General features: G+C 40.2%; 1 long non-coding RNA gene across 6 annotated transcripts in view; it reads left to right on the top strand.

The window, feature by feature from the left end:
* Positions 1-24,881, top strand: part of LOC105370265 (uncharacterized) — a 94,000-nt gene extending 69,119 nt beyond the window's left edge. For 4 of the 6 annotated variants that reach the window (XR_001749923.2, XR_001749925.2, XR_942096.3 and 1 more), the window contains 3 exons: positions 7,479-7,644; positions 22,231-22,287; positions 24,674-24,881. This is a non-coding gene — a long non-coding RNA (uncharacterized LOC105370265). The other 2 variants (XR_001749927.1, XR_942097.3) reach the window with 2 other exon arrangements.
* Positions 24,882-26,394: the final 1,513 nt, after the last annotated feature.

Below are 26,394 nucleotides of genomic sequence, written 5' to 3'. Positions count from 1 at the left end.
GTCCATGGAGGATATTCTCTCTTGCTTGTTGTTTCTTGTGGCCACTGGGTTTGCTCTCTCATTTTTAATTCCTTGTTCATTTGTCCCCATGTTGATTCTGAGGTGAGCCTCAGAGAATGCCCAACTGAAGGTTGCAGAAGCCTTGTGGCTGCATAAGTCCCCACGATGTAGTTCCAGGACCTGAGCATTGCTTTGAGGACTGATCTGTCACTGTCTTTTGTAGGCTAGGTTTGAGGTTGCTTTAGCAGTACAAAAAGGCTTACAATTGCTTTGCTTCTGGTCAGTTCCATAGGTAAGAAACATACAGTGAAATATCTTATGTAGAGATGATAGAGGCCTGGACTAGGTGGAGGCAAAGAAGGTGCCCAAAGCACAAAGTGGAAGGAGGCATGCACTGTCAGGTGCTGCTCTGCCCTTGCCCAAGCCTGAGAATGAGGGCTTCTTTAGTTTTGTGTGCTGGGCACTTCCTTTTTTGTTTTGTTTTGTTTCTTTTGAGACAGGGTCTCACTTTGTCACTCAGGCTGGTCTTGAACTCCTGGACTCAAGCCGTCCACCCACCTCAGCCTCTCAAAATGCTGGGATTATAGGAGTGAGCCACCACACTGGGCCCCCCGGGCCTTCTTCTTTCTCACCCTTGCCTTGGCCCTGAGAGATTATATTTAACTCTAAAGTCTCTGGCCTTTAATTTACTGATCTCTTGGCTTTGCTTTTCCTATTTCCCTTCTACCAACTTAATGATGGCTTTAACAGTGGATTTATTTAGCAAAACACCACTTTTATTTTTATTTTTGGCTTGCAAGCTCATAAGATTTGTAGGACAGGACACCATTCTTATCTCCTGCTAAGGCTACTGCTTTGCTGCTGCCACAAAATCCCTCTTCACTTTGGGGTACATATGTTGACTTTTTCAACCCTGCCAGGATTCAGATTATGAGTCTTTCTGTCAAGTTGTAGGGGAGGCCACAAGCAGAGAGTGCTTCCCTCAGCCAAGTGATGTTTCCTTCATCTCTGCTTGCAGACTCATTAGCTCCGACCTTGAGTAATTTTGCAAAAGGTGGCAAGAAGGAGCTAGCAAACACTACGTTTTCCTTACACTGCAGCCTCAGTCAGCAGGTCATCTGCCTTTTAAGGTCAGAGGGTTTCATTTTGACCAAGGGTTTTACCACTGCAAAATGAATGCTGTCAGCTTTCCAGACCTCAGTGCTTAAATTCTCAATGCCAACTATTTGATTGCATCTACTAAGCCATTGCAATATTTTTAAATGTTGTCACGAATCTCTCCAATTTCAGGTTTTAAGTCCTGTATCAGATAAGATTACACCAGTGTGCACATGACAGAGAACTTAAATACGTTTAAACACACATGATATTTCTCTCATGTGAAAAGTTGAGAGGGAGGCAGTTCCTGGCTGGTATGAGGTATTTGGGCCCCTTCCTGCTCTCACCTCCACAGTTCCTAAGGTGCAGGCTTCATTTACATGTTCCAAAAGAGCCATTCCTGCTTTAGCCATCACTGTGATGTTCTGGGCAGTGGGATGAAGGAAGGGTGAAGAAGGATATGCTCTCTGCCTTAGAAGACTTCTCAGAAGTTTCATACATCACCTCTGCTTACCTTGATTGGTCATAACTTAATTACCTGAGTGCACTGAGCTGCAAGGAACGCTGGGAATATAGTCTTTATTCCCAGAGGCCATGAACCCAGCTAGACATCTGTGCTCAATGACTAAGGAAGTAAGAGAGATGCATATTTTAGACAGCTACCACCTTCCATCATGTGTTACTTGATATTATTTAAATTTATAAATGTACATATTTTAATGTAAGAATTATTTAATGTCTACTATGTGTCAGGATGGAGTCAGATCCTATGGGGAATGGAATATGAGCAGGACAGGAGGCTATATAAAGTTACAGAAATGAATATTCCATAGGTTGTCAAATACAGTGTTAGTTTTCATACCATTAAAAAAGAACACCACTGCCATTTTCATTGTAATACATTTTTTGTTTTAGATATGCTAACAATTTCAGAGCTGTTTAAATGTGAAAAATATGCCTCTTAGAAATAATATAATTAACTGCTTCAAAGTACGGATTCTGGGATCAGATCTTTTTGGTGGCTTTATTTAATCTTTCTAAACCTCAGTGCCCCTATATGTAAAATGAGGGTAAAAATAGTTCCTACTTCAGGCTGGGCACAGTGGCTCACACCTGTAATTCCAGCACTTTGGGAGGATGAGGCAGGTGGATCACCCGAGGTCAGGAATTCAAGACCAGCCTGGCCAACACTGTGAAACCCCATCTCTACTAAAAATATAGAAATTAGCTGGATCTGGTGGCACATGCCTGTAATCCCAGCTACTCAAGAGGCTGAGGCAGGAGAATTGCTTGAAGCCAGGAGATGGAGGTTGCAGTGAGCCGAGATCATGCCACTGCCTTCCAGCCTGGGCAACGAGAATGAAACTGTCTCAAAAAAAAAAAAAAAAAAAAAAAAATTCCTGCCTTGCAGGGTTGTGAAAGGATTAAATGAGATGATTCACATGAAGCTTATAGCCCAATGTCAGACATTCAGTAAGTGCTCATTAAATGTTGGCTTTTAGTAGCTTTAAGTAAAGATTCCTGGCTTTAAAATAGCTTACCCTCTAATGGGAAACACCACTAACATAATAGAGGCAACAAAATGGGGAGAGGAGCGGGAAAATTGCGCAGCCTAAGTTCTAAGTGGGAAACTGGTGTTTCGGTGTGGGCTGTTTCGTCAGTTACACTAAGATGCTTGGTTTGAATTCCAGGATAGCTAACACGTATAATAAATACTATGCCAATTTAAATGATCTGAGGAAAATCACCCTAAGTAGTAGAAGAAAAATATTAGCCATTCAGACAATTCCAACGCATGATGTCTGTTTCACACACACCCACCGCCCCCCACCCGCTGTGTAGGGTGGACCCATGCAAGAAGACTGCCTCCTGTGTGGAACTTCAGAGAAAATGGCAAGACCTGAGCATAGCTGAAGGGTGTTAGAGGTTCCTCTTGACAGGAGACTTATGGAATGTGTTCTGCAAAGTTCTTATATTTTCACCAATGTCTAGACAGATAAATTCCCAAGTGGCATTGCTCCTTGGAGGCAAAGATCCCACTGAGACAGATAAACTTCCATTTGTTTTCAAGGAATGTTGACTATTGCAAAAGAATGGAATCATCTCCCCAGGAAAAGCTAATTATAATGGGATTCTTGATTCTTTGGGAAACCACCCTTTCCCATTGCATTTTCATCTTTAGTATGTTTGATTTAGAACCGACCACATCTATCTCAAGTATGTTTATTCCCTTTGGTTAAGTGGTGCCTATAATATTTACAGCCTAGGAGAGTAAAATGTAACTATTATGTCTTGAAGAAACTAACCACCTGAAGTTTACCAAGTTATCTCTTAAAACTTTTTGGCTTCTTAAATTAGCTCATATGTCATATTGTATAGTTTAAATTTGGGAGAAAAAATTGAAAACCTGAGATTTTTAGCTCTCTCTCAAAATAGAATTTTATTGTATTCAAAGAGATTTTTAAAAATGAATTTGTCTTGCATAATAATTTATTTCTTAAGGAGCAGCTTTGGGATATGGCAATTTATTAATTATATTTACACAAAATATTTTCATTGGCATCTATAGGACCTGAATATTCCCTACATTCCACTCACTTGTGGAAGTTACCTGGTGATATGGTTTGGCTGTGTCCCCACCCAAATCTCATCTTGAATTGTAGCTCCCATAATTCCCACATGTTGTGGGAGGGAGCTGGTGGGAGATAATCGAATCATGGGGGTGTTTCCCCCATACTGTTCTCCTGGTAGTGAGTAAGTCTCACGAGATCTGATGGTTTCATAAGGGGAAAACCCTTTCACTTGATTCTCACTCTCTCTCTTGCCTACTGCCATGTAAGACACGCCTTTTGCCTTCCACCATGATTGTGAGGCCTCCCCAGCCATGTGGAACTGTGAGTCCATTAAACCTCTTTTTCATTATAAATTACTCAGTTTCTGGTATGTCTTTATTAGCGGCATAGAGAACAGACTAATACACTTGGGTAAGGTGACTTGCACAGTTGTAGTTCTTGTGTCTAATGGATCAGCAGCCCCTTCTTGTGAGGAGCAGGATCTGATTTGTCATGGTGGCTGTGTCACTCAGGTAATCCTCCAGAAGACAGAAGAGGGGAGGGACCCGTGTATGCAGTAGTAGTCACTGTCTGGGAGGCCACAGTCCCTGTGCTCTTGTTGCCACTGGTGCCCTCATAGATGTCAGCACTCTTGGTGTCTTAGGCCTGGAGAGCAGCTATTGGTGCTTTGTTTGGCATGCACAACTTGCCCTTGACTTCAAATGACCGGAGTGTTTATCTCTGAGTTGCCATGGGTGGACTTCTGCCTCCTGATCTATGTGCTCACTTCACTCTTCAGTCAGTAAGAAAACACCTTCCCCTTTTAGAGCCCAGCGATCTTCCTTGGGCATGTGGCTGGGTGGGAGATGTCTTATAACATAGACACCAATAGATACAGCTGTTTCAATTATAGTACCAAGCTTTCCAGTGACAAAGTGGCAAAATTCACATGGCACAGTGGCTTAGGGTCTTAGAGATACAGCTTTGCATATTAAAGAATTTTTTTCTACATATTTCTCTTTTTTTAGGGTACATAAACAGTCCTGCCTGCAACATATTTGGACCCCAGAATAAGAATATTCACGTACAAAAGGTCTAAATACTTGAGTGTAAATCAAGTGAACATACTATTATATAAAGTATATCTTACCCTCCTACTTGACAAATATTCCTTTACTACAACAAAATTTCTATTTTTAAAATTTTAACGTTTTTACTTTTCTGAACTGCATTTTATATTTTCTATTATAATTTTAGCTTGTTCTCAATTTCAATGATCTAAGTAATGACAAAATAAATTTAATTTTATTTGGAGTATTAAAAAATTGAATGCATTTGAATTCTATTTAAAAATATAAATTAAAATAAATGTAAACATTAAAATATAAAATCCTTTCATGTGTCCAAAAGCTTATTTTTCTAATGAAATATTTTTAAAAGATCTATTGAAATTAAATGAGAAAATTCAAGTTATAATGAATGAATATCAAAGAGTTCAATCAATTATTTAAATGGAGCTGGAATTTTAATTTTAATTTTATGAATATAAATTAAATTATTTAAATATATCTATAAAAAATAAAACTGCTACTAAGCCTAGTCATCAGTGTCCCTCTGGTTATTAGTGTGAAGAAATATCTCACTTTGTGCATGCTATGTCTGTATCTTCAGGTATAGTTTAAGAGTATAAACTTACATATGTCTAACTTAAGACATGAACGGTGTATTTAATAATAAAGAATATTCCTCATCTTCCACATGCAACAGTTGTGAATATTGTACTAATTTGTGAGTGCTTCCAGAGCCCTAATATGGAACATAAAGAGAAGAAGACAACAGATGCCCAGTAGTTATGGGGAATTATACTTCATTATGCAAGAATTCATTATACTCATAGTACTTGAGAGGATTATGACATGTTATTTGTTTTTCCCTTGCTTGAGCTCTTTTGCTGCTTGCACTCTGAAGCATTATTGATTTCTGAAGCTGGTAATGGCACAGCCCAAAAACCTTCATGGCATTTGGATACAGTGATATTTTCCTTCAAAATCAGAGTGTATTAGTCTGTTTTCATGCTGCTGAGAAAGACATACCCTAGACTGGGTAATTTATAAAGACAAGGAGGTTTAACGGACTCAGAGTTCCACATGGCTGGGGAGGCCTCACAATCATGGCAGAAGGTGAAAGGCACTTCTTACATGGCAGCGGCAAGAGAGAAAATGAGAGCCAAGCAAAACAGGGACCCCATTATAAAAGCATCAGATCTCGTGAGACTTATTCACTACCGTGAGAACAGTATGGGGAAACTGCCCCCATGATTCAATTATGTCCAGTTATGTCCCTCTCACAACACGTGGGAATTATAGGAGCTATAATTCAAGATGAGATTTGGGTGGGAACACAGCCAAAACATATCACAGGGTAATAGATGTGAAGAGTTTTCCTGGGGCCTGAACAGTATTGGTAACAAGAGCAAATATTTAGGATTATGGATTGTGCTAAAATCCCATGAGACAGAGATGCCCAAGTGTTCTTTAAGGAACTTCTTTTGCCTCCGTCTAGGGCATGGGGACTACCAAGAGACAGAGTTATAAGGGGTAAGGTGTCTGTGCATAGCTTTGCACTGTACCTGCTAACATTTTGTCTTTGGATGCTCAGGTCCTGTGCTACTTCTCACTCACCATGCCAGATTATCTCCGCATTCACAAAGCTTTTCTCTTAGGGACTTAGCTGTCTCTCCCTGATATCTGGCTTCCTTCGGATTTTTCCAGCAGATATATCTGTAATGTGTCTGAATATCATTGCCATCAAGATTCAAGTTCTTTCCTATTGACCTGTGGCTAGAATCTGTCTGCATGTCTATGAACATCGTGTGACAGGGATAGACACTTTTTGTGCTAAGACCCTAAGGACTTCTAGGACTGTTGCCTAAATCCACATTCTGATCCAATACAATTTCCTTTCCAGCCTACAAAAGCACCCTATTACGCATGAAGTATTGTCTTTCCAAATGATTTCTTCTCACGAATGGTTTTTAAAATGACAAAATATTCCAGATATTTAATGTGCTTTAAAGATAAACATGGTATTGTTGAGAGAGATTAACTGCTCTGCTCCTTGGTTCTTCTGTTGATCTTCTTCATAGGAGGTTGTCACCACCCAGGTGACAAATCCAGGTGTAAAAATAGAGACCTTTTTCTCTTCATGGGCAATATCCTGAAGCTTCTAGTCTTTGGCTCCTCTAAGATCTCTTTTCCCAGCTTAACTATAACCATGTAAGCAGAGCCCACACAGCTAATTTATAATTAAAGTAGAGAATTTAGGGGCACAGATTACTTATTGCTGAGACCAAGCTTTTAACTTTCTTTTTAGGTGTATCTCATCAATTCTGAGCTCTTTAATCCTACTGTTTTTTTCAGTGACTCTCTTGCTTCAGAATGCTAGATCAGCAGTTTTGACACCAGTGCCACCTTTTCAGTTCTTCCCTTATGACTTAATTTCATATCCTCTGTAACCTCCTTCTCTTTCACGTTCTTCATCCTCCTTCATGTTCTTCATCCTCCATATGGATTGATATGTGATATTTAAAGATAAGTCTTAAATCCTAGTTTCATCACTCACTAGAATGTGACTCTGGGAAAATTACCCAGTCTCTCTAAGCTTCAGTTTTTCCATTTATAAAAAGGAACTGATAATGCCTATCTTGTGAGATGGTGGGAACGATTAAATGAGATAATTCAGGTAAATAATTTGGTAGAGATCTGACATATGCAAGATGATCACTAAATAGTGCCTCTCTGTTTTTAACTTCCTCCCTTTTGTCTTCAGGTTGTGTCACACCTTTTCCTGAACTTTGGCTCAATTGAAGAAGGAAACTTTCAGGGGAATTCCAATAGTAAACAACAGAACCAGCAGTTTTACAATAAACTGCAGAGCTCCATTTCAAAACACAAAAATAGAGCGTCTCTGCAGTGATGTACTGCCTTAAGGAAGGGTAAGATTTTTTTCACGGATGTTACCAAACTTTAATGAAGTACATGTTGTCCACTCCGTGTATGGATTTTTGCATGATTTCTATTTTCCAATGAAGTTCAAGTAAAATAATTAGAACATCACTTATATATAAAATGCTGACAAATCTCTACAAAACTCACAAAACAGAAAAATTCAAGGCCAGTCCATCTTTGGCCTATAATCTGGCTTTCATGCTCTTCTAGTTTCTCCTGACCCCCTGTATTAGTCTGTCTTTATGCTACTGATAAAGACATACCTGAGACTGGGAAGAAAAGGAGGTTTAATTTGATTTACAATTCCACATGGCTGGGGCGGCCTCAAAATCATAGTGGAGGGTGAAAGGCACTTCTTACATGGTGGCAGCAAGAGAGAATGAAGAAGAAGGAAAAGCAGAAACCCCGATAAACCCATCAGATTTCATGAGACTTATTCACTATCATGAGAGTAGCACAGGAAAGAGTAGCCCACATGATTCAATTACCTTCCCCTGGGTCCCTCCCAGGGGACCGAGGGGAACGTGGGAATTCTGGGAGATACAATTCAATTTGAGATTTGGGTGGGAACACAGCCAAACCATATCATAGCACCCCTGGCCCCTCCAAATCTCATGTCCTCACATTTCAAAACCAATAATGCCTTCCCAACAGTCCCCAAAAGTCTTAACTCATTTCAGCATTAACCCAAAAGTCCACAGTCCAAAGTCTCATCTGAGACAAGGCAAGTCCCTTCCACCTATAAGACTGTAAAATCAAAAGCAAGCTAGTAACTCCTTAGATACAATAGGGGTACAGGTATTGGGTAAATACAGCCTTTCCAAATGGGAGAAATTGGCCAAAACAAAGGCCCATGCAAGTCCTAAATCCAGTGGGGCAGTCAAATTTTAAAGCTCCAAAATGATCTCCTTTGACTCCAGGTCTCACGTCCAGGTCACGCTGATGCAATAGGTAGGCTCCCATGATCTTGGGAAGCTCCACCCCTGTGGCATTGAAGGGTACAGCCTCCCTCCTGGCTGCTTTTATGGGCTGTCATTGAGTATCTGTGGCTTTTCCAGGCACAAAGTGCAAGCTGAAGGTGGATCTACCATTCTGGGGTCTGGAGGATGGTGGCCTTCTTCTCATAGCTTCACTAGGTAGTGCCCCAGTAGGGACACTGTGTGGGGGCCCTGACCCCACATTTCCCTTCTGCACTGCCCTAGCAGAGGTTCTCCATGAGGGCCCCGCCTCTGCAGCAAACTTTTGCCTGGGCATCCAAGCGTTTCCATACATCTTCTGAAATCTAGGTGGAGGTTCCCAAACCTCAACTCTTGACTTCTGTACACCTGCAGGCTCAACACCACATGGAAGGTGTCAAGGCTTGGGGCTTCCCCGCTCTGAAGCCACAGCTTGAGCTGTATGTTGGCCCCTTGCAGTCATGGCTGTAGTGGCTGGCACACAGGGCACCAAGTCCCTAAGCTGCACACAGCATGGGGACCCTGGGCCTGGCCCACAGAACCACTTTTTCCTCCTGGGCCTCTGAGCCTGTGATGGGAGGGGCTTCTGTGAAGGTCTCTGACATGTCCTGGAGACATTTTCCTCAGGGTCTTGGAAATTAACATTAGGTTCCTTGCTACTTATGCAAATTTCTGCAGCTGACTTGAATTTCTCCCTGGAAAATGGGTTTTTCTTCATTTAGAATTCATCATCAGGCTTCAAATTTTCTAGACTTTTCTCCTCTATTTCCCTTTTAAAATGGAATGCTTTTAACAGCACCCAAGTCACATTTTGAATGCTTTGCTGCTTAGAAATTTCTTCTGCCAGATACCCTAAATCATCTCTCTCAAGTTCAAAGTTCCACAAATCTCTAGGGCAGGGGAAAAGTGCCACCAGACTCTTTGCTAAAACATAACAAGAGTCACCTTTGCTTCAGTTCCTAAGAAGTTCATCTCCATCTGAGACCACCTCAGCCTGGACCTTATTGTCCATATCGCTATCAGGCTTTTGGTCAAAGCCATTCAACAAATCTCTAGAAATTTCCAAACTTTCCCACATTTTCTTGTTTTCTTCTGAACCCTCCAAACAGTTCCAACCTCTGTCTATTCTCTAGTTCTAAAGTTGCTTCCACATTTTCAGGTATCTTTTCAGCAACACCCCACTCTACTGGTACCAATTTACTGTATTAGTTTGTTTTCACACTGCTGATGAAGACATACTGATAACTGGGAACAAAAAGAGCTTTAATTGGACTTACATTTCCACATAGCTAGGGAGGCCTCAGAATCATGGCAGGAGGCAAAAGGCACTTCTTACATGGAGGCGGCAAGAGTAAAATGAGGAAGAAGCAAAAGCAGAAACCCCAGATAAACCCATCAGATCTCGTGAGACTTATTCACTATCACGAGACTAGCACAGGAAAGACCAGCCCCCATGATTCAATTACCTCCCCCTGGGTCCCTCCCACAACACGTGGGAATTCTGGGAGATACAATTCAATTTGAGATTTGGGTGGGGACACAGCCAAACCATGTCACCACCCATGCCACTATTATGAGGCTGAGCAGTAAGGGTGGCCTGTGTGAGAAAGATATGCTGCTGTCATGCGGTTTCTGCAGTAAAGAGGTCATGCACTGGTTATTAGGAAACACTACTTCAAGTCCTCCATGTAGTTTGCTACCAAAAAAAAAAAAAAAAGCAATTTGTGCATTACAGAAAATAGGTGGATCACAGAGGATTTTCAGGGTGGTGAAATGCCCTTAATGATAGATATTATAATGGTGATACATGTCATTGTACATTTGTTCAAACCCACAGAATGTATATCACCAAGAGAGAACCCTAATGTAAACTAGGGACTTTAGGTGATTATGATGTGTCAATGTAGGGTCATCATTGGTACAAATGTACCAATCTGGTGGGGAATGTTGATAATGGAGTCTGTGTATATTGGGGGACAGGGGATATATATGGGAAATCTCTGTACCTTTCTCTTAATTTTGCTGTGAGCCTAAAATTGCTCTGAAAAAATTAAGTATTAGTATTTAAAAAATAAAGCCTGAGATAAATGAGAAAAAAAATAATGTCTATTCAAAATATTTGATGTCCTAAAGAGAGGAAAAATGACCTTCTCATAGAATTGAAATAATTGAAACTCTCTTTTAACATGTTAATTGGTTTTCTCTGCTTGCTTCATTTTAGGTCTTCTCTGTAGTCCTGGAAATTCCCAGTGTTCCCTCCCTCGTGCTTTTAATCTTGCTGTTCAAGGTTGAATTCTTCTCTTTTTGCCTCTCCAGGAATCCTAATTGTTCAAGGTCTTGCTTCTGGTCCTCCTGAGGCCTCCCTACCTCCTGTGGGTCCCTTCAGTGATCTCTAAATTGTTTCAGTTAAATTTAAACTGTGTAGGAACAAGGACCATGTGCTGTACTTAAAAATGCCACATCCCTTACAGAGCCTGGTTATAGTTCTGGGCATGTAGTAGGTGTAAATTTAATATGTGTTGACTGTTTAAAAACTTCTGTTAACTTAATCAGAAAACAAGAAAAATTTACCAAGTCTTTTACTGCTTTCAAAACATGTCTAGTATGTATGTTTCTTATGTTTTAAAATGCCTCTGCTCATTTTGTTCTTGTGCTAATGCAGAGCAACAACAGAGGGTGAACATCAGGTGTGCTCTTTTACATACGGTAGGGAAGGTGGAGAGATGCCATTGAAACCCATCTGGAAGAGTGAAGAGAGTAGGAACACCAAAGTAGTAAATAAATTCATAAACATAGGAGAGAGTTTGTTGATAGCCTGAAGGAGCATCCCAAATGCATTAAAAACAACTGCAGATTCTCATGATGCTAAGCTAGGGGAACTCGGGCAAGTAATTGTGTTTGATTTGCTTGCTTTTCTTGACTAAATCAAGAAAACAACATACAAATGGAATGCAGTGTAGTGGCCAAAGGAAAAAGGAAAACCCCAAACTCAGAATGCTGTGAGTGTGAAATGACCTTTTAGTTACTTTCTCCTGTTTTTTTTTTCTACTGCTGTTTGTGATTCAGGAAAGACAGCTTTTTATGTGTCTCTGCTAAACCTGGGGTAGCTATTCTTTCAATTTTTAAAAGTCTCTCAACAGATGCTATCTCCTGAAACACAAAACAAAAACAGAACAGAACAAAACAAAAAAAAAAAACAAAGCAGAACAGTACAAACCCATAGATAACTCTCCCTCCTCATACCAAACTAGGCATACTCTGAAATCGGGGGAGAATAATTCTTTTTTATATTTCTCTATGTTCGATGGTAGGTTTGGGTGTGCATAGGTTATGTTTCTTACAGCATTCTCATTTTAGAATATTTATATTAAGTTCCTTTTGCAAATCCACAGCAGATAACATGGATGGGGAGGGTTTCTGCTAATTCCCGTGTAAATCATCCCAGTGGCTAAACAACAGAGATTATTGTTAGATGGGTTATTGAAAATAAAGCACTCATCATTTTCTATTCTTTTGGCAGAAACAGTAGTTGCATGAGGCACCTAGGCATGGTTTGTTCTGTTGCTGATTTAATCCTTCCTCTTTTCCTTCCTTCTCTCCTTGCCTTCCTTCTATTTCTCCTTCTTTTTTCTCAGCTTGCTGTGCAGTGATTCTAAAACACAATGACCTCCCAATGTCTAGTACTTGCCCACTTCATATGGGAAGTACCCTAGCCTGAGTTTCCTGCTTTCTTAATATCTACTTCCATGGGTGCATGTTATCTATGGACACATAATCAAAATGTAAAAACAGTTTGGCTCCCACGTTTAGCAACACTCAGTGTGATCTTCCTTAATGTTTGGCCCGTTGTGTCACATAGACTTTCCTTGTATTTTAATATGCATTTTCCTCCAGTCCTTGTTGAATTCATTTGCATTGCTCTTTAGTTCTTGCTGATAATTCTTTTCAGTAATGGTGTCATATCAGATTTAAAAATCTGGAAAATAGTTTGACATTTATAAGGTATGTTTTGATTTTGCAGGAAAATAGATGTGCTTTTTTGTTTGTTTGTTTTTTGGTCTCATTCTCCTTCTCAATTCTTTGAAAAAAAATGCAACAGGAAGAAGCAGCTAAATAGTAGCCAATAGGTATTCTAGTATGTAATGAGGAATATTAAATAATCACTCCTAAAGCCCGTGGCATTTGCCTATCATGATGGAGACCAGTGACAAATAATAATACATCTGTAACATTGTATCAATAATGTTAGCTGGAGTGGTGAGCACCCTTGATTTTGAAAGCAGCTTTGAAACTCAAGTGTGCTAACAGTAGAGAAACTAAGAGAAGAATCTACAAGATGTGTTAAACTGAGAAGGAGGGAAGGAGCCAGGGTAGTTTAGCTTGCAGAAGAGGAGACAAAATGAGATGTGAAAGAGGGAGCAGACTCTGTCCACATTGTCCCTGAAGGCCTGCTGGGTTTGCTGCCTTCTAGAAATAGTCTAGCAGAGGTTGGATGACTAAATTTCAGGAATGTTACCAACAATGCTTTCCTGGGGTGAGTGTAGGGCAGATGGTGTCCTTGGTCTCTGCGTGAGAAACAGAGAGATTCTGAGCTGCATAGTTAAGAAAGTGCGGGGCATCATCAGGGGCAGAGAATGAAATCTGGCATTGAGCTTTTCCGGGGGCTTGAAGCTCTGACTGTGTTACATGTGACAGCACCTCCTGCTTCCTGTTTGCTGTGAGTTTGAGGTTGTGGCCTGCAGCAGTTGTTAGGGAAGTCTGTAAGCCTGCACCTATGGAGTGGGGCTTCCGGGAGCCTGGGAGGAGCACCACCCAGACTGGGCTCAGCAACTTGGGGCTGAATATTTCTTTCTTTCTTTTCTTTCTTTCTTTTTTTTTTTTGAGATGAAGTCTTTCTCCCTTGCCCAGGCTCGAGTGCAGTGGCATGATCTCAGCTCACTGCAACCTCCGCCTTCCTGGTTCAAGTGATTCTCCTGCCTCAGCCTCCCAAGTAGCTGGGATTACAGACGCCCATCACCATGCCGGGCTATTTTTGTATTTTTAGTAGAGACAAGATTTCACCATGTTGGCCAGGCTGGTCTCGAACTCCCAACCTCAGGTGATTCACCAGCCTCAGCCTCCCAAAGTGTGGGGATTACAAGCATGAGCCACCACGCCCAGTCGGGGCTGAATATTTCATTTGGTGAAATGATGAGGAAATTGATTTATTATTACCCAGGCCTATATTATTCTTCTACTAGCATCACAAGAGTTTTCCTCTTGTTAATTTTAGAGAAGTGGGAAGAGTGAAGAGTAAACATATTTGTGTCGGCCATTAAAGAACACACTTATGAAAGCTTGCACACCCTCTTAGTGAGGCCCTGAGCACAGTGTGGACTGAATATGAAAACATCAGTTGGGACATTGTGTCTCATCCAGGGACACAGCTGCTGTGGAGGTTTTCACTGCATTTTCAGTAAGGCATTATAGAGACAGCCTGTTCCTGTAATGGCTTTGGTGTAGCAAGCTAATAGGAAGAAAAGAAAGGGCAGAATGGTCTTGGGAGAGAGAGAAACAGTGTGAGAAATACATGAATGTGCAGAGAGGGGAGAAATCATTGCAGGATGGGAATTTGAAACATGTAAATAGGAAAGGAAAAATAAATGTTCTTTGGATGCTAACAAAGCAAAGAACTAGACTTAGCAAATGAGATTGACTTATAGGAACACAAGTCTGTCTTCACTAAATAAGAGGAGAAGCAATGGAAATAATTATATCTCATGTAAAATAGAAGTCAGCACCTCTTCTTGCTGTGCCTAGTCTTCTCTGTGAAGTGGAGCTTTCCTTTGGTGAAAGATGCATTATCTGGCTTACCCCTACTCTCCAAGCTCTAGAAGTAGGCACTTCTGATGTTCCTTGTTTCAACTGAGGAAACAGCTGGATCAATCACAGTAGACTTGATTTTTAAAAATTGGTTAAAGATAGCTTTTTACCTAGAATTTCATGTTACTAGAAATCAGAAAGCTTAAGAAGTCTTTAAAAAAACGACAGGACTTATTTTGGTTTTCATTTCAACAAAATTTTATTTGAAACACAAGAACCTAGAGGTGGTCCTTAAAAACTGATAGTGACAATAATAAAACATCTGTGAATAATATATTCAGGCTGAGTTGCAGACCAACATAAATCCCAGTTTCTTGGGGAGGTGGAAGGATACTCACATTTATGGAAGTGGAAAGAGAAGTTTCACTTGTTGAATGCTAACATTGTGTCAGGCACTGGGCTAAGACTGCAATCTCATTTATTTGTCACAACCCTGAAATTAAGTATTATTGTTATGCCAAGTAGAAAACTGTGATCCTATTATTTAGAAAAAAAATATGGACTATAAGTTTCTGAACTTATTCATTGACTATCTGGGCTTGGATGAAACATAAAGTTTCTACAACTTGCCTTTCAAGTCCATAAGATTTCTTTTGAGAATTTGTCACTTCTCTTTTTCATGAGAGTATATTGAAACACTAGACTTCCTACCATTGCCACTACCTGGATACTTCTCCTCTTACTAAGGTGGTAGAAGGCTGGAGACCTTCAAGCCATAATGCCACCTCATCCTAAAGCTTCACCTGTGGTACCTGGTGACAACGCCCATTGAAACTTGGTTAAGCCCTGCAGCCAGACAGTGTAACGACTTGCTTGACCTTCTATTGACTCAGGTTAAGCAGCTCTCTCACTTGTAATGAAGAAGGCTTGGGGTAGCAGTGTGGAAGTGATATCTCCCTCCTGGAAGGTCATTTCTCATGGTGACCTCCACCCAAAAATGAACTTGTGTCAAGGGTTTGCGTACAAGCAGTTTCTTTGGGATGTGATCCCAGGAAGCACTGCAAGACTGTGGCAGAAGAGAAACAAGAAGGGAAAAAAAACACTACAAAGTGTGATAACGAGTGGGCTACTGCTGTGAGCAATTGGAGCTTCATCCTTCTAGGGACCTTCTGAAAGACTATGGAACACATTTCAGAACCCTCCTATTGCTCTGTGTTTATCCACCAATTCCTACCCTTCATTAACTGAGGGTTCCTTCTGGGGCAATTTCTAGCCTGCCAACCCTTTCCCACTGTCAGAGATTGCCTACACAGGTGAAGAGATATAGAAAGGCATTTAAACAAGAATAGTACATAGTTACTTTCTGCATGGGTGGAGGGGATATGGCGGGCCACCAACAGGGTCTTCCCATCCCCCATCTCAGGGGGCTCTGAACCTGCCAACTCACATGCTTTCTTCCCAGTGCAGGAGAGAAACTTTCTCCTGCCAGCTACATGCTCCTGCTTTAGCTTGTAGAAAAAGGAACAAATGTGTGCCCACACTTCTGCCTTCCAACACTTGTTCCCTATGGGGGAAGGCTTATGAAGGGAACTTCTGGCTTCTCTCTACTCCTTACTAAGGATGCTCCAAGTGAAAGAAAGTAGCTAATATGATTGTTGGGAAGCCTACTGGTCCTGAGTAGACTGGTCTGTGGGATCAGGGTCCCTGTATTTTGTGGCATGGCCCCTTTCTCCTATCTGTGACATATGTTGGTAAGAGAGTCAGGGCTTTCTTCACTTCTGTTTTCCTGTGAGGTAAGCATGGGCCTGGAAATGGGTCTGCAGAAGATTTCTAGAAGGAAAGAGAGCCATTTTTCTCTTGCTCTTGCCATTGCATCAGTGTCTGATTGTGTGAGGCTGACCCATGACCCTGCGCCCAGCAGCTAGTCAAGGTTCTGAGTTGTTTATCTAACCTCACTCTAGGGTAGACTCCAAAGTCTTGATTCAGAGAAGGAGAGGAAACCCCAGTGACCTTCAGACTTCAGTTTAGTTCTCCCACATGTTTGCAAAAGATTCTCCTCTGGCTCCACTTGCCAGCCTCTAAGGAGGGTGATGCTAATCTCCATTTAGGTTTTCATTTGGGTGTTTGTGCCATTTTTTAGGACCTTGTAGGTTTCTTACTTTCCAAAAGACAGACAGGATATGGGCTCCAAACCCTACCCTGAATCCTTAATCTTTTAATTATTAAGAATTTGTGACCTGAATTCAAATTTCAGTGCCACTATTTTTTAGTTGTATGAAATTGTCCAATAAAATGTATGGCAGAGGCACCTGACAGCTGTAACTGAAGGATACCATGAGGACGACCCTATGGTCTAAGCAGAGCGTTGGTTCAGAATTCTGAGCTAAGGAATCTGGGAGTGGCCAATCCAGACATTGATCTTATCTATGAAGGACAATTGAACCCCTTGCCCATTCTTTGGAATATAGGTCATACAGGGGATTGGGAGGCCCTTGTTTTGGGTTAAATGGAGGTTGCTAGGTGGAGGTTGCTATGTGAAAATGCTATATAAATTGTATGGTTTTTACAAATGGTAGTGGTTCTCTCATCCAGCCTGCTGCCACTGTACTATCCCTGTGTGTAAGTGCCCCCAATAAACTCTGTATATCATTCCCTGTCACCAAGTCTCTTCTTTGGCTTCTCAGACACAGTGCTATCCCTATTGGAGTCAGTAGGTGGCTGGCATGACATTAAATAACTACCTAGGGCCTCAATTCTCTCTTTTCAAAATAAAAAAATGATGCCTATCTTATAGGATTTTAATGAAGATATCTGAGATGGTACAAGTATCACATATTACCTTGCACATAGTAGCTGCTCAGTAAATTTAGTTGCTATTAGCTAAGGCAACTTCAACTTCAGATTTTAATTTCAGTTACTATCCTCTCTAAACTCAAAAAATATGAAGTGTATTTTATTTGCTCTATGGCAGTCAATACCTGGAGAAGTACTTCTTTCATAATACTAACAGTTAACTAAAGTTATGAAAACCAAGGTTGTCATTTGTTTTCCTAGTATCTCTTTAGGGAGTTTCCTTCTCCCCCTGCAAGTTTTAGTCTGAAAAGTTTGAGTGGGGATGACCTCAACTCCTTGGTGTAAGAGGTTGGTCCAGGCCCAATATTTGGTAGTCTAATTTTACCTGTTTTTTTCTACGAGACCAGGGAGAGCTATTTGTCTCTTATCTTCATCTTTTCCCTTTCCTATATGAATTCGTCATTTTTGAATGGGACCCATTGTTTATTGACAAATAGGAATGTTTGTGTATGTCAGGACAGAGAGAGATTAAGGTGAAGCAAAAACAAGGCTCCTGGGGTGCAGAATTTAAGGAGGCAACTCACTTTTAGGATTTCCCTAGGCTTCTTTCTTGCCTGACCTTACTTCTGTCACTGGTGTGTCTGTATATGTGTGTGTGTATGTGTGTGTGTGTATGCGCGTGTGTGTATGCGTGTGTGTGTAGAGGTAGTGCTGGGGTGATGCCAACATGGAGGTGGTAGTAGTGGTGAATGAGCCATATATATCCATTGGCCTCCTTAGAGTTTCTTGTCTTGAGAACTTTCTCCCTTCATCAAATCTATCCTCCTTTTGCCTGGGGGAACAATATCCCTTTGCTTTTCAGGAACCAGAAGATAGCATAGCTAACAGCAAAGCCATTGGGATCACAGGCTTGTTGTTCTCTGCTCACCGCTGTTTCATTTCCTCCCTCCACTCAGTTCTTCCCCTGGCTTTTTCCCTTAGATAAGAGGCTGGATCATCCCAAGAAAAGATAAGATGTCCTGCTTTCTCCTATAGCTCACTCTGCTCTCCTTGGTTTTGTGATGTTGCATTGTGACTGTTCAAGAACATTTTCTGCCTCTCCCATGATCGTCCTCACGACAAGAATTCAAGGTTTCAGTTCAAAGATTACTGGCTCCCTTATTGTAGGAGATGTCTTCATTCTGCCTAGGGTCTGAGGAGCTGGCCCCTAGGTAGGCTTCTTAAATCAATCCTCGCACAGTACCTCCTAGGTTGGCCTTATAGTGTGCGGCTTGTGGTTGTGACAGTTTCTGTATTTCACTGAAGTAGGAGACGTTCTATCTGTACAGTTTTAGATTTTTTTGGTGAGTTTTTATGTGGCAAGCTGAGCAAAAATGCTTTTATACTATATTCAGTGACAGCCTATTCCCAGGCACGTAGTAGATACACAGTAATTATGTATTAATTGTCGGTGGGGAGATCTGGGGTAGAACTTTAAAGGAGGCAGAGTGCAAAAGGAGATGTGAAGGATTCCGAAGGGGACACTGCTGTTACTGGCTGTGACTTCTACTGGGTACAAACTCTTGTCTTTTCCATGACTTCCACGCTGCAGTCTTTAGGCGCATTAAGAAGGGAGGGAGACTTCTCTTAGTCTTTCATCTTCTCTCTTACAGAGAAGCTCAGTTGTTGTCCAGTTTGTGTATTTTTCCCTGCCCAGATCTCATGTTGAATTGTAATCCCCACTGTTGGAGGTGAAGCCTGGTGGGAGGTGCTTGGATCATGGTGATGCATTTCTCATGAATGGTTTAGCACCAGCTTCTTGCTGCTGTTGTTGTGATAGTGAGTGAGTTCTCATGAGATGTGGTCATTTAAAAGTGTGTAGCACCTTCCTGCCATGTTCTCTCTTTCTTGCTCCTGCTTTTGTCGTGTGATTTCCCTGCTCTGCTTTCTCCTTCTGCCATGATTGGAAGCTTCCTGAGGCCTTCCCAGAAGCAGATGCCACTATGCTTATACAGCCTGCATAACCATAAGCCAATTAAACCTCTTTTTTAAAAAAAATATAAATGGGGTTGGGGGAGGGAGAGGGATAGCATCAGGAGACATACCTAACGTAAATGACGAGTTAATGGGTGCAGCACACCAACATGGCACATGTATACATATGTAACAAACCTGCACATTGTGCACATGTACCCTAGAACTTAAAGTATAATAAAAAAACAAAAAAAAAAAAAAAGAAACATTAAAACTCACTAACTCTTAGATTTGAGTAGATGGCTCTTACCACAAGTTAAAAATATATATATATATATTATATATAAATTACCTAATCTCAGGTACTTCTTTATAGCAGTGCAAGAATCCATTAATACAGTAGTGGAAAGCCTTTTCCAAGTCTAGGTCTGAAGATCCAGCTATCAATAATGCAAGTGAGTGTAAGTTACTCTTGCATTGCCATTTCCAGACACAGATGAGCTATGGTGATTCACCAGGCAGGACAGTCACTTCGTTGCTGCTATCTGATTTGATGTCTCCTTGGAGCCAGGGTGATGCTTGTCTGGGTCTCTCACAGGCTCCTCTTTGGACCAGCTGGTCTCTTTACTTGATCTAAACAATTTCTGGTTTCAGCAAAATAGGCTACATTGTAATTTAATATGTATTTTTTAATCAGAAGAAGAATGCAGCATGTTAATATAATTTCAAAAGACAATAATATTTAGAAAAAAATGTCTTTTTCTAAAAGTGGATAATTTTATTTATGTTGGTCTCCTGTTAGAGTCTGAAAGATAATCTTTCAAGGTTGTTTAGAATTGACTCATGGGCGTTTTCAAGATGGATCATAGCATCTCCTTTTCTGAGCCTGGTAAAAAAAAAGTTAAACGGGAATAAGTTTTGCTTGGTTTGAAATCACTACTATCTGGAGAAATGCGGATTTTTACACAATTGTTTGAGGTAAATCCTTACAAGTTTTCTAGTGTAAAACTACTATTTCTAGAAAAATCAGGAAATGAGAGTTATTATAAATGATTTCTGGTAATATTGTTGGTTATCCTAGACCTATGCCTTTTTTATTTTCTTCAACAACTTGTTTGACTTACTGAGTCTAAAAATTCATTTTTCTGTTAAAGACCTTTGTCTCACTTATAAAATATATGATAAACAATGTTCATATGATCTCAGATAATTCTGTCATGTCAATAAATAATTTTGTTTCAGGTTTGGATATTCTGGAACCAGCTGCCCTCAAGTCTTCATGTAGACTTACAACATTTTAAGAGTCAGTGCATTATTGAAATTATTACGTTGCTTTATTTGGTATTTTCCATTTCTTCTCTTATTAAATACATTTACTTTCATGGTATATTATACTGTGTAACTTCTTAGTTCTAAATACCTACAGCAACAACATCTTTGAGATTCACTACTTCTTCCTTCTTAAACTATTTCAGTTTTTTTTCTGCTTTTAGCAACTTAGACATAAAATTTAAACAGACACCTTGTTGAATAAGAAACCATTTCTTGTGTTTATGAGTGGTTCCTTTCCCCTGTTCCTTATCCTTTTTCTTTCATTCTTATCCTTTACTTCAGCCTCCACTCTTACTCTGAATGAACACTAATTTATTTTGGAGTTGTCATATGTAATTAATTGCTTTGCAACCAATTGCATCACTGAATAGCTACCGCATTTGATATCACAATAGTCCAACACTGTGATATAATCTAGATAATACTGTGAAATTGAGAATATAGGTCAATATGTTGGAAAAAATTGAAGAATCAGTACTAGAAAAAAATTAATTTTCACATGCTCTAATCACGTCATTTTTATTTTCTTTTGTCAAATTGCCTCTTTCTCATTCCCTTCTCCACATATTGCTTCAATCATGTTTTTTTTTTTTTTTTAACGGTTCTTCTTTCACATAGTTCTTTCTCCACTCACATAAATGCTTAGCCCAGCATTGGAATTCCTCCCCTGTGGGCCTTTCCTTTCATCAAGTTCCATCTTCATTCTTCTCGAGATGGATTACAAAAGGAGCTGATTTAAAATTCACTGTCTGGTCATGAATAGACACGATAAAGAGAGATGTTAATGTAAAATTATATTACAAAATGTTTGTTTAAAAAACTCATCATCTTGCTCCCTTGGGGTTTTCTCTACTAAATTCACTTTGGCGAATAATGACATTCATAAAAAATCTACCCAAGGGCCTTCACGAAACAAAAAGTGCCAAAATGCAGCATTTCATGTCACAAAAATAGCTCAGAAGTTAACAGGTAAGGCCACTGCTTTTTGTTGAATTTAGTTGTTTGGTTTTCCAGTATTTCCCTCGCATTCTTTGTGAGTACATACATACACATAAGCATGCAAATGCACAAAGCACACATACAGATTAGAATTGGGTTTATTTTAATTTCCTGATTGTTTTTGTTCATCTAAGTGCTATTTAAAATAAGTGAGGTTAATGGCAGTTCCCTCTCCTCTCATTCTGTACTCTTCCCCAGTCTTTATTTCCGGTGTGTTAGGAACTTGTTGTTCTTCCCAGATAGTTCAGTTGCAATTGGGAGTTGCAATTTGAGTTGGTAGGTTCTCTCTGGGGCGCTGAGTAAAAGACAACTGTTTGCTATAATGGCCTACACAGCTGCAAGAAAATCACTGTTTATTGCCTTTATAAAAAATAAAATTTGCTGCTTTCGCCTTAGCTTCTTTTGAACCTTCTCAAGAAAATCATTCTGAAGGGCAGAATAGCAGACTTCTTAAGGGCTGGGATTCTGGAGTTGGATTTGGGGTTAAATCCTAACTCTACCATTTACTGTGTGGTATTGAGTAAGTTACTTAACCTTTCTAAGACTCAGTTTTCTCATATATCAAATAGGTATTTATGAAGACAAAATAAACTCATGTATGAAATAACTCTTATCACAGAAAAAAACTTCAGTAAAATATAATTCTTAATATTGTTGTCTTAATAATGCTAATTTGTATTTGTAAGCCAATTTATTATTTTTAAGTAATTTTAAATTTTATTTTTATTTTACTCCTAGTAGATTCCACCTTTGAAGGAGTCTTACAAAACCATTGCCTTTATCTACATTTAGCAGGTATTTTTTGAACATTATGATTGGAACAACATAGAATTGGGCTCTTTGGGCATTAATAAAAAAATACTGGAAGCATCCATCCATTCTCTTTGTGTGCTAAATGTCTGGCCCAATATAAGCATGAAGGCTGTGGAATTCAGTAAGGGAGGAAGACTTATTGGAGAGAGGAATACATATTTAGAATTCTATGAAGTAGGCAATGTTCTTCCTCATTGCACAAAATAGGCCAGGAGTCTGAAGACTTCCATTTTAGTCCCATCTCTGCACTAACTAGGTGTCTTAGCAATTAACCTTTTGGAATCTAGGCCTCTTCATTGATCAGATTAATTTTCCAAAAGAACAGCTTCAATCACATTGTTCTATGGCTTAAAAGCCTCTCCATTGCTCACTGAATTAAAGTCTAACCTCTGTGCTTGGCATTCAAAGTGCTGTAATAGTCAGAGTTTTCCAGAGAGATAGAACCTATACATATATACATGTGAGAAGGGATTTACTGGGGGAATTGGTTCACATCATTATGAAGGCTGAGAAGTACCAACACAGGCCCTCTGCAAGCTGGAGAACCAGGGAGGTAGATAGTGTGGCTCAGCCTAAAACCTCATAACCAGGGATGCTGATGGTATAATTCTCAGTTTGAGGCTGAAGGCTTGAGTACCCAGGGTCACCTGTGTGAATCCTGGAGTCGAAAAGCCAGAGAATGTGGAGTTCTGATGCCCAAGGGCAGGAGAGGGACATCCTGGATCTGCAGGAGAAAGAAAATATTTGCCCCTCCTCCATTTTTTTGTTCCACTTGGACCCCTAACTAATCAGATGGTGCCCGCCTACATTGAGGGGGGATCTTACCCACTCGGTTCACAGACTCACATGCCAATCTCCTTCAGAAACACCCTCACAGACACCCTCAGAAGCAATGCTTTACCAGCTAACTAGGTATCCCTTAATCGGGTTAAGTTAACTCCAAAACTTGACCATTGCAGGTGCTCAGCTTCCTCTTCCAACCTCCTCTGCCATCCTCCTACTATGTATACCCCACTCTCCATCAGAGTGCTGTCCTTGTTCCCTGAGCACTTCTAGTGCTCCTATCGGCCTCACCCAGATGCCTTTCTGCATCTCTGCCATGCTCTCCTGCAGTGAGCCCACCCTGCTGCCAAAGGTAGAGGTCTTGGCTCTATCTCATATTCCTTCAGCATCCCTCATCAGTCACTTGCTACCCATCAATCAATCATTTGCCACACATCAGTCAATCATTTGCCACCCAGGCCTATTCATTTTCCCTCACTGAAATCTTTTAATACATTTCCTGCATTTCCTCTGTATTCTTTACCTTAGGTTAGGCCTCTTTCATATCTTACCTCTATTATTACAGTAGCTTCCTGTGATGGTTAATTTTATGTGTCAGCTTGATTAGGCCATGGGATGCCCAGATATGTGGTTAAACATTATTTTTGGGTGTGTATGTGAGCATGTTTCCATAATACATTAGCATTTGAATTAGTGGGTTGAATAAAACAGATGTCCCTCTTCAGTGTAGGTGGGCATTGTTTAATCCATTGAGATCCAAATAGGACACAAAAGGGAGAAGGTTGAATACCCCCTCTCTGTTTGACTGCTTGAGGTAGGACATAGGTCTTCTCCTGTCCTTGGACTAGAACTTACCTACTGGCTTTCCTGGGCCTCCAGCTTGAAGATCATGGGACTTCAAACTTCCTAATGCTGTTTGCCTTGCTTGCTCCCTTTCAATCTATCCCATCATCCTTCTGGCAGGGTGATTTTTCTTTTTTGTTTTTTTGAGAATGGAGTCTAGCTCTGTCACCCAGACTGGAGTACAGTGGTGCAATCTCAGCTCACTGCAACCTCTGTCTTCCAGGTTCTAGTGACTCTCTTGCCTCAGCCTCCCCAGCAGCTGGGACTACAGGCACACACCATCACAACTGGCTAAATTTTGTATTTTTGGTAGAGATGGAGTTTCACCATGTTGGCCAGGCTGGTCTCGAACTCCTGAACTCAAGTGATCTGTCCTCCTCGGCCTCCCAAAGTGCTGAAATCACAGGTGTGAGCCACTATGCCTGGCCAGGGTGATTTTTCTAAAATGCAGTTATAATCATGTCACTCTCCTGCATACAACAATCCTTTGATGCTTTCCCATCAGTTTGTACATAACAATCAAAATCTTTTCTTAGTCCACTTTGTATTGTAGTTATATGTGCTTTTGTTTTGTCTTTCCTCTGCTATTAAAAGCCACTGGACAGCAGGGACTGAGTGTTACTCAGCTTCGTATTCCCTGGAGTACCTAGTAGAGTAGCTTGCATATAGTAGGTGTTCCTTAAATGCCTGTTACATGATTGTATCAACTGGAATTAATATTATCTCCTTTACCTTTCTGAAGGTAAATGCAATGATTAAATATGAAGAAGAGCATTGACAAGATGAAATGGGCTCATTCTCAGCAATGTTATTTCAAAAAGAAAACCTGAGTGATTCACGTATTCATATGTCCATCTGAAAATGTCCTTCTCTCAACAAACTACTCAGTGAAAACTCATCTTCATATAGTTAATGCTGGAGTGCTAATAAACTGTTGCAAATTTCAAAAATAGTGTCATAACTTCCTATACAGAGTCTAAAGAAAGTGGAGGTGTGATGTAGTCTAGGGTTATCAATAGGGCAGCATGACTTGATGGGGCTTAAGACTTCTACACACAGCCAGCAAGCATTTAATGAGCATCCCTGAGGGGCTTAATGTTCCATACTATTACTCAAGGACTTTTTCTTATTTGCCAAGATTACTTGGTAAATCTACAAAGCCAAGTGGCCTATGGCCAGAGTTCAAATAGTTTCTTGTCAATTCTTCCCTCCCTTTCACAGTTGCAAGGCATGGAAAAGAGGAAATGGGATGAGATGGGATGGCTTTCGTCCTGGCCTGCTTCAAGCACTGTTTCACCATAAAAAAGGAACTCTCCACTGCTCCTCTTAAACAGATAAAATATTTTGTGCTTAGAATTCAATGACTCATCCCACTTGGACATAACTACATTCTTTCTAGGGCGGAAATCTCGCATTCAAGTGCAGCTGGCCAAGTTGAAGAAAGAACTTCAAGGCAGTTCTGGGAAAGAACTTTAAGCCTTAGCCCTGATTATGAGAAAGAAGTTTTGCTCTTTGCAAAGGATTAGGAGCATAACTGTGCTAGTGAATAACAATCTCGGACTTAGCCAAAGAATGCTTGGGTGGGATTTTGATTATCATTATGGTATTTTTTAAAATGTAAGCATCTAAGTCTTCAAATTCTTTGATAAATTTAATTTTAATACTTAATTTTGGGCAATCAAAGCACAAAGAAGTAGAAACTGGAGTGAAAATGGGTGGGTTACCAGATACTTACAATAATAAAAGTGTCATTTTGCCAACTTATTTTGTAGCTAAAATTACAATTTTCAATGCTATATGTAGTTGAAGATAGCCATCATCTGCGAGTGCTTATTATATGCCAGGAACTAAGCTAAGCTCTTAACCTGCAAAATTTCATTCAATCCTTGCATAGACACTATGTGATAGATGGACTACAATTGCCACATTGAATCAACATTTGCCTGAGAGACCAATGGGCATTTATTGAACACTATTTAGGGATTAATGTGAAGCGGTGGCAAAGAAGGAAAGGTATAGCATTTAGAGGAACACAGTATTTCATAGAATCTTAGTGAGGGAAGGGATGTTGAAGGACTAAGGCTGATGCCAACTCCGTTGGGCAAGTAATCATCGCTTCTAGCTTTTATAAATTATTAAAATATATTTTGATTTCAGTTTTTCTGATCTGTTTATATTGTCTCTTAAGTCCTTTAGAATCACTTCACACTATGCTCTCATCCAGGTGAAAAGGAACTCAGAAAGAATGTAATTAGCCTCATTTTCTAGCCTAAAACCTTGTGCAGTGGACCTAGAGGCTCCCAAACACGTGCTAAGGTGTAAGGGCCCATGGGCTGCATATCAGTAGGTAACCAAGGCATTCTTTTGTGTATGTGTTGCCCAAATCCCTTAAGAGCACCTATACATCTTGACAATTTTCAGTACAAATCCTTTTCAAGTGAAAAATAAACAAGTATTTAATAC

Source organism: Homo sapiens, chromosome 13 (genome assembly GCF_000001405.40).
Source record: "Homo sapiens chromosome 13, GRCh38.p14 Primary Assembly".
Taxonomy (NCBI): Eukaryota; Metazoa; Chordata; class Mammalia; order Primates; family Hominidae; genus Homo; species Homo sapiens.
Note: the sequence above shows the minus strand (reverse complement) of the source record. Positions and strands in the feature narration are given on the sequence as shown.